At 52.1% G+C, this 8501-nt stretch overlaps 1 protein-coding gene across 10 annotated transcripts; it reads right to left on the bottom strand.

Moving 5' to 3' along the window:
• On the bottom strand, positions 1624–8484 carry TWNK (twinkle mtDNA helicase). 10 transcript variants are annotated; one of them, NR_160738.1, is made up of 5 exons: positions 6574–8484; positions 6143–6383; positions 5364–5591; positions 5017–5158; positions 1624–2837 (listed from the first exon to the last, which is right to left on the bottom strand). NR_160738.1 is itself a non-coding variant. In NM_001163812.2 (5 exons), exons 1-4 carry the CDS (start codon positions 7814–7816, stop codon positions 5002–5004), a joined length of 1749 nt encoding a protein of 582 aa, NP_001157284.1. In that variant the 5' UTR covers positions 7817–8484; the 3' UTR covers positions 1624–2837; positions 4973–5001. The 10 variants fall into 10 exon arrangements, 5 of the variants coding, with proteins under 5 accessions (NP_001157284.1, NP_068602.2, NP_001157286.1 ...); NR_160742.1 differs by having other exon boundaries at positions 4973–5158; positions 6143–6321; NR_160740.1 differs by having other exon boundaries at positions 4973–5158; positions 5484–5591; positions 6143–6321.

Genomic DNA, 8501 nt, shown 5'->3' with positions numbered 1-8501 from the left:
AATTAGAGGACAAGGCTGTAGATCCAACTGGACCTGGCTTAGCCAGGCCTTTCCTGAGATCTCAGGGAAATTTTTTTTTTTTCCTCCCAATCCACCGAACCTGTGAGTCAGGGAGATTCTTAACATCCAGTTGGGTGTAGACAGACCAGTCCTATCCCAGGGAATCCGCACAGGCCCTAGGGACCCCCCACTGCTTTCTAGAATCCAGGGATCTGAACAGACTGGGTGGAATCATGATATGGGGTATTTAAGGCAGGTATGGAATAGAACGTGTTTGTGCAGCGGGTAGGGCTGGGGGGAGTATTAGCTTCCCCTCCCCCTCATCATTCTGGTTTGTGCTGTGTGGGGGTGTCTGCTAGAAGGGTGGGGCAAGACAAACAGCCAAGTCTGTATCTATCCCTCTATCCCCAGTTCACAGAGACCTCACAAAGGTCCCCTACTGGAAACCCCTAAAAGATCTCCTGAGAACCCACCAGGCATTCTAGGGAGACAGGAATGTGGAACCCACATCCTTACAGGTATGACTGATATGGTATTGTGCCTCTGGAAGGCATGGCTGCCGTTCAGCGTTACAGACTCTGGATGAGGCCTAGACCAGCCAACGGCTGGGAATGATTACTGCGGGATTAGGGAGGCCTGGCTCCAGCCAGTCTGGGAGAGACCCCCAAGAAGGGAGGCCCTGGAGGAGCTCTCCCCACCCCCCCAGGTTCTTCCTCACAGAGAGCAGCTTTCCAGCAGCCTTGCTCCGGATGTTTCAGGAGACATTTGTGACCAGAGTTCTCACACTCCAGAGACCACAGACCCCTCCATCGGCCCCAGAAGCCCCTTCATAGGTTGAAAGGAAGAGCCTGACAAGGCAGCCCTGCTTCCAAACGGAGCAGGAAACCTTCCCCCAACCCTTACAAAAGGATTCTCCCCAGCCCCCTCAGAACATATTGCATTCTCACGACTCTTTCAGGCAAATCCAAAGGGAAACTGGGACTTTGGGATATCAGAGGACGAGAGATGAGAAGGTGTCATCATTTAGGAATACTTCTGACAGTCCCTCTGGGTCACCTATTTTACAGTCTCCTCCACGGCTTGTTAAAAATGAGGATTACTGTACCCGTCCTCAAATCCAGAATGAGAAATGTACGTGGTGGAGGATGGGGGGAGAATGGGGCCTAGTTTCTGCATTTTTCACAAGTCCCCAGGAGTTCTGGCACGCATTAGCATATGAGAAACACGGAGAGGGTACAGGAGGGAGATGGATGGGGGTGGACAGAATATGTTGAGTCTAAGTCCACTTGAGAGGTGAGTGGCTCACATCACAGAGGAATGGCCAGTCAGGCAGGGCACTGGGCTCATGTGGCCCAGTGATGAGTACCTGTGCCAGGAATCACTCGAGATCCTCAGGGAAGTTAGGTATGAGGACAGATCATCTTGTCTTCCCTAGGCCAAGAAGAGATGTAAATGGAAGGTGGGGTGTGAAGGCCCTTTAATGTCCCTGCTTCCTTGGAAGCCCACCGCTCAAAGGCTGCAAGCAGTGGGAGGGGACCCGTCCATTCCCAATCCCGAAAGGGAAATTCAGCTACGGACTGGGGAGACACCTGGTGGATGAATAAGAAAAAGCACAGAAACAAAGGCAATGGAAAAATTTTTTAGTAAAACTGGAAAAGGCTCTATAAAATGTCCTGACTCCAGCAGTCTTGAGGCAGCACACAATGGCATCAGTGTCTAGGTGGCAGGCACTCCGGGCTGACAGCTTCCTTCTATGGCTCTATGACCAAGCAACCCAGCCCGAGGCAGCTCCCACCAGTGAGGCCCTGATATTGCAGGGCTAAGCACCTAGGATCCAATTCTAGTACATGCCACCTCATGCTAGGCTCTACAAAGTGGGGAGCAGAGGAGCTTGGTACCCACTGTATCACCCTTTGACTTTGAAAGCCTAGGCTGGAGTTTCGCATGAAGTCCCCGATTCCCCTCCAGGTTCATGCGGCCTGACCTCACTGCCTTGAATCTGACCTGCTCATTCCTACCTCAGGGCTTGGATTTCCTTTTCTCTCTGCCTGGGTCCCCTTCGCCGGATGTTCACGTGGCTCTCTCCTTCTAGTTGTTTAGGCCCCAGCTCACATGCCCTCGGCTCAGAGACACCTTTTCAGACCACTTATCTACACTAGCCTGCCAGCACTCTATCGCATTTCTATTTTCTTTACAGCATTTTTCACTAAAACTAGGTTTTCTGCTAATTTGTTCATTGCTTGCTTGTCTCTTCCGCCAGAATGCATGCAGGCAGGGACTTTATCTCTCTTTTCAGTGCTGTATATACAGGACCTCAAACAAAGCCTGAGCAACACAGTAGTTTCTCAGTAGTCTGCTACATTGAATTTTCTCACTATGGAAACCTGCTCTAGGTTAGGCCCCTCAGACTGAGAAGGGCACACAGCTCAGGACCACAGGATAGAGGAGCCCTTGCAGAGTTTTATGCTCCAGCCTATCCTATCAGGCTCATTTCAGTGACCAGCTCTGCACGGCCTTCACTTTGAACGCTTGGAGGTGTCTGGCTGGTCGGGAGTGGGGGCCTGGCCTGAGCAAATCTCAGAGTTCTGTGTCGTAGCCCCCTTTTTGCCAGAAGAGGGCTTTTTGGCCACTGGTCCAGTGTCATCCTTGATCTTCTTGAGCCGGGCCTTGTTCTTTGGTGGAATGGAGAAGGTGAGGGAGTTCTTGTTGAACTCAAGCGGGAAGACACCTACATCTCCATCAAAGCGGTTCTTGGACACCTGCAGATACCGTTTCCCTGGCCCGGTTACCAGCTTCCTGTCCTGCAGGATCAGAACATTGTCTGCTTCCTGGCTTGCCTGGGGAACAGGGGGCAGAAGGAGGAAAGCAGGAGTAAGAGGACATGAGCAAAGCAGAAAGGGGGGCTGACAGGGCAGGGAGGAGTGATAAGAATGGGGAGAGGGGCTGGGTACAATGGCTCACGCCTGTAATCCCAGAACTTTGGGAGGCCGAGTCGAGTGGATCACGATGTCAGGAAATCAAGACCATCCTGGCTAACACGGTGAAACCCCATCTCTACTAAAAATACAAAAAATTAGCTGGGCATGGTGGCATGCACCTATAGTCCCAGCTTCTTGGGAGGCTGAGGCAGGAGAATCGCTTGAATCCGGGAGGCGGAGGTTGCAGTGAGCCAAGATTGTGCCACTGCACTCCAGCCTGGGCAACAGAGCGAGACTCCGTCTCAAAAAAGAAAAAAAAAAAGAGAAAGAATGGGAGAGGGAAAAGTACTTCCCCCCATGACCAAAGCTCTTTGAACTACTGACCACGATGCTGGGGCCACTCAAATCTTTCAGTTCCCTGACAAGCTTGCTACTGTTTCAGACGCTGCCTGTGCTGTTCCCTCTCCTTCTCCACAGCGGGCCACCCCACTCAACCTCAGCTTCTTCTCTTTTAGGTCTCAGTCTAAATGTCACATCTCATGAAGGAGACCATTCTTTTTTTTTTTTTTTTTTTTTTTTTAAAGACAGGGTCTCAGCTGGGCACGGTGGCTCACGCCTGTAATCCCAGCACTTTGGGAGGCCGAGGCGGACGGATCATGAGGTCAGGAGATTGAGACCATCCTGGCTAACACGGTGAAACTCCGTATCTACTAAAAAAATACAAAAAATTAGGCGGGTGTGGTGGCACATGCCTGTAGTCCCAGCTACTTGGGAGGCTGAGGCAGGAGAATCACTTGAACCTGGGAGGTGGAGCTTGCAGTGAGCCGAGATCGCGCCACTGCACTCCAGCCTGGGTGACAAAGCGAGACTCCGTCTCAAAAAAAAAAAAAAAAAAAAAAAAAAGATAGGGTCTCACTCTGCTGCCCAGGTTGGAGTGGAGTGCAGTGGTGTGAGCACGGCTCACTGCAGTCTCAACCTCCCAGGCTCAAGCAATCCTCCCACCTCAGCCTCCTGAGTAGCTGGGACCAAAGGTGCATGCTACCATGCCCAGCTAATTTTTAAATATATATATATTATATATATATATTTTTTGAGACGGAGTCTCACTCTGTCACCCAGGATGGAGTGCAGTGGCGCGATCTCCGCTCACTGCAAGCTCCGCCTCCCGGGTTCACGCCATTCTGCCTCAGCCTCCCAAGTAGCTGGGACTACAGGTGCCTGCCACCACGCCCGGCTAATTTTTTTTTTTTTTTGTATTTTTAGTAGAGACAGGGTTTCACCATGTTAGCAAGATAGTCTCGATCTCCTGACCTCGTGATCCACCCGCCTTGGCCTCCCAAAGTGCTGGGATTATAAGCGTGAGCCACCACGCCTGGCCAATTTTCAAATATTTTTGTAGAGACAGGGTCTCACTACATTGCTCAGATTGCCAAACTCCTGGGCCCCAGCAATCCTCCTGCCTCAGCCTCCCAAAGTGTTGAGATTACAGGTGTGATCCACTGTACCCTGCCATTTTTCCACTTCTGCATTACTCTCTTTCCCAGCTCCATGTTTGTTCCATCATGGCACATGATTTGTGCTCCTTGCTCTGAATTCCCTAGGCCCAGCCCAGGCCTCGTATGTAATAGGCATTCAGTGTAACACTAGAAGCTCCAGGATTGGGCTGGTCCTGATGCCCAGAAGGCCCTCACATTTATCTGATTGTCTAATACCCATTGTCTACCAAACCTCAACCCAACCTTTGTTGTCACCTCCTCTGGAAGTCTCCCAGATGTCCCGGGCTGACTCAGACATCTTTTCTCTTTGCTCTCCAAATACTTGTGCTGCCTATCATACTCTTATCATACTGAATTGCAATCACTGTCTTACTGTTTCCCCAGGAGAGGATGTGAGCTCCTGGGGGACAAGAAGAGCATAAGAACCAACTATCAGCCTTTGTATTTCCAGCACATATATTCCTCATGTCATGGCCCCAGAGGCATTGCCTCCTGCCTGTTCGGATGGACAGTCAAGACGATTAAGGCTGAATGAGGGCTGTCCCTGGTCACACCTACCCACTCTATTTTCCAAAGCTTGAGCTCCGCTAAAGGCCACTCACTTTGGCTGAGCCAAAAATGGACGCTGTCTGCAGTTCCTTGTCATCATCCTCTTTCCGGGGGTGAATGACCAGTGTCACATGGCAGTTATTGTCTGTTGCAAACTTCCGAAAGACCCCGATGATGTAGTCTTGAGCTGCGATCCTACGCCATCCCAACAACACAAAGAGCTTATCAGACACAGAAGGACAAGAACATACACATACTCTTGATCCATTCACATCTCCCCACAAACTACCACAACCCACTCTACCTCCCTCTACCCAAGGACTCACACTCAGATCCCTGTCCATACATCCTGCTGCCATACCCCACACCTCCATATGATACACATGGGGGTGGTACGTGCCTGCACACATCTCAGAAAATAGGAGAGCACAGCATGTGTGCCTAGAGGCCAGCTGCCTGAGAAGTGTGTGTTGTATGTCCAAGCGGGCTCAAGCTAGACAAGAGAGGATGTCACCGTCACCTGTCTGTGGACAGCTGCTCGTGACCCATCATGAACTGCAGGTTGTCGATGATCACATGACAAATGTCATAGACGTAGACTGCATGTTGCATTGTATCTATTACAGTCCTGGGAAGAGGAAAGGCAAGGAATTTGACAAGTTGTCTCTAGACCACCCCAGGCAGAAGAACTAGCATCCTGAAAACTCTCTTGGCTGCCTCCTCTGCCCTTCTATTATTATTACTATTATTTGAGACAAGGTCTTGCTCTGTAGCCCAGGCTGGAGTGCAGTGGTGTGATCACAGCTCACTGCAGCCCCAACCTACTAGGCTCAAGCGATCCTCTTACTTTAGCTTCTTGAGTAGCTGGGACCACAGGCATATGCCATCACCATGCCCAGCCTAATTTTTAAAAATTTTTTTATAGAGAGGGGTGGTCTCCCTATATTGCCCAGGTTGGTCTCAAATCCCTGGGCTCAAGTGATCCTCCCACCTCAGCCTCCCAAAGTGCTGGGATTACAGGCGTGAGCCAGTGTGTCCAGCCCTGCCCTCTCATTCTTTGAAAAACTCCAAACCTAAGGAGATGGGGGAGTTCCTACTGGAGCTGGAAAAGGAACCAAAGGTTCCTGAGTGCTGGGATATGTCTGGGAAAGCAAGGTGGCTGGAATCTGGGAGTCTCACCTGATGCTTTGCTGTCCATGGAAAGTCATGAAATAGAGGGGCAGGTCCTCAAAGCGGTCAGCCCAGTGATCATATTTGTCCAGTTGATCTTCCAGCCGCCCCTCGGCAAACTGTGTCAGCATGACCCGGGCTAGTCTCACATTGCTGATCTCGAAGCTACCCCACAGTGTGTTCACCCCCTGGGAACACAAATCCAGGGCATACTCACTGATGAATGTCGTCTTTCCACTGCCTGTTGGCCCTGCAGTGGGGTGGAACAGACCTGGGTGAGGAGGAAGTCCTACCCTTGAAACCAAGACATAGGTCAGGGCTTTAAAACTGGGGGGAAAGGGCCAACCTTCTTTTCAACATTGTCATGGCCCAAACCCACTTGCTTTTGTCACCTGATCTTCTGCCCCTTTACTCTAAGTAGTGATTTCTCAAAGGGTTACCTGTGAAGACCGTCAGCTCGCCCTTTCGATGTCCCTTCAAGATACGATTGAGGTCTGGAAAGCGGCTCCAGCGGAGGCCAGCTGCTTGCTCCACATTTGACAGTTCTCCTAGCACCTCCTCCCGAAGCTGCCGGAAAGATACGATGGACTTGTGCCAGGCAGGCAGGGCGGTACGAAGAATACGAGAAAGATTGAAGCCTCCGTTCAGGGCCTCCAGGGGACGGGGTTGCTGGTCTCCTGGTCGCACCAAGAAGCATCGTTTGGGGTTCAGTTTTCGTGCAAACAACTTGGCGGCTTCCCAGGACCGAAGGTCATCCCCCAACCAGAATACAATCCGCCGGAACTGTTCCAGGTAAGGGAGTAAGGCAGGGGGTAAGCAGGTCGTTCCTCGGGGTAGAGTAAGGGTAGGCAGCCCCGTGGACTGGTTCAAGGCCAGGCTGTCAAGCTCACGACTCGTCAGTACCACCTCAGCATCTCGACGACTAATCAGTGGTAATCCAAACAGATTGTGGTAGGCGCTGGGTCGGGGAATAGTGGTTTCCTCGTAGCTCACTCCATCCCCCTGGCATTTAGCCTCTAGGAGCTTCAGGCCTCGTAATCCTGAGCCCCCAGGGGAGAACCAAGGGAAGACAAGACTGCGAGCAGGTCGCAGATATCGCACACTGAAACGCTTGAGTGTGTCATCTGTAACCTTGGTAAGGCCAAACATTGTATCAGCCAGCTGAACCTCCTCCTGATCAGGCAGCTCCCAGAGAGGTATTGCTCGGTTCCAGATCCTCCGGACCTCCTCGCTGTCCTCAAATTCTGGTGCCTTGCTAAGCAGAAACCCCTCCCTGGCCCCATCCCCTCGCCCCTCCACGCTGGCCTGGAAGTCTTCCCAGCTCCCTTCTGCTAGGCTGGTCATGCAGAGAAAGTGGCCTGTGGTCTTGTCAATGAAGAGGCTGAAGGAAGTGGTAACACCAGTCTGGCCTTTGAGCTGTGAAGACTCTGCAAAGGGGCTCAGTGCCCGCAGGCAACTGTGACCATCCTGGAAGGGGATCCCATGCCCCCGCAAATACTGGCGGATTTCAGTTGCAGTTACAGGCAACACTGGCATATCCAAGGCTTGGAGAGTCTCCTTCCTGTAACGTCTGCGAGGAGGGCCTGGGGCCAAGTTTCGGGGCAGGCCCCTCCGACCCATCCACTCCCCACGCAGGGGTAACAAGATACGGAGGGGGTACCCACTTCGGAGGAGGACCCACATTCCTAGCCAAATGTGGGAAGTCACTACTTGAAATGCCTTAGGTGCCTGGTTAGCGTGCCTTCACTAGACCAAACTCTAGGGATATCCCACGCAGCACTCTGCAGAGCTCACTCTAGGTGCATTCTTTCTCTCCATGAATTTCTCCTCTTCAGCCCCTCTACGTTGCTGCTTCACACATATGCCCATCTACACGACCCTTTCGCGTCCACGTCCTTCTACAATGGCTCCCCCACCTCTATGGTCCGTTAGTTAGTTTCTCTCCGCCACCTCACCTCTATGACCCTCTATACAGTTCCTCACTGACACAGTTTCTTTGCATCATCTTCTCACCTCTACTGCTCCTCCACAGCATCTCCTCGTCGTCCTCATTTCTATAGTCATCTGCATCCTTTTTGTAGTCCCTTTGCCCTAGGCCCCGACTAGAGACCCTCTTCCGCTTCTCCTTCCCCTCACTGGGACCTCAACACGGCGAGAGCACCCAGCACGACTCCCGCCAATCCCCCGGCCCAAAGGAATGCCAGTCTCTATCCTCCCCCGTGTCTTCACTCCGCTCTACTACTCCGAGCTCCGCCGCGCCGGCCCCCAGCCCCAGGTTACCACTTTTCTCTCTCCCACTTCGCCGGCAACGTGAGTCTCCCGCACATGCTACTCGCCTTGACCTCGGAAGCAAAACTCCGGGAGCGGT

The sequence above is a fragment of the Homo sapiens genome, chromosome 10 (assembly GCF_000001405.40).
Source record: "Homo sapiens chromosome 10, GRCh38.p14 Primary Assembly".
NCBI classification, from domain to species: domain Eukaryota; kingdom Metazoa; phylum Chordata; class Mammalia; order Primates; family Hominidae; genus Homo; species Homo sapiens.
Note: the sequence above shows the minus strand (reverse complement) of the source record. Positions and strands in the feature narration are given on the sequence as shown.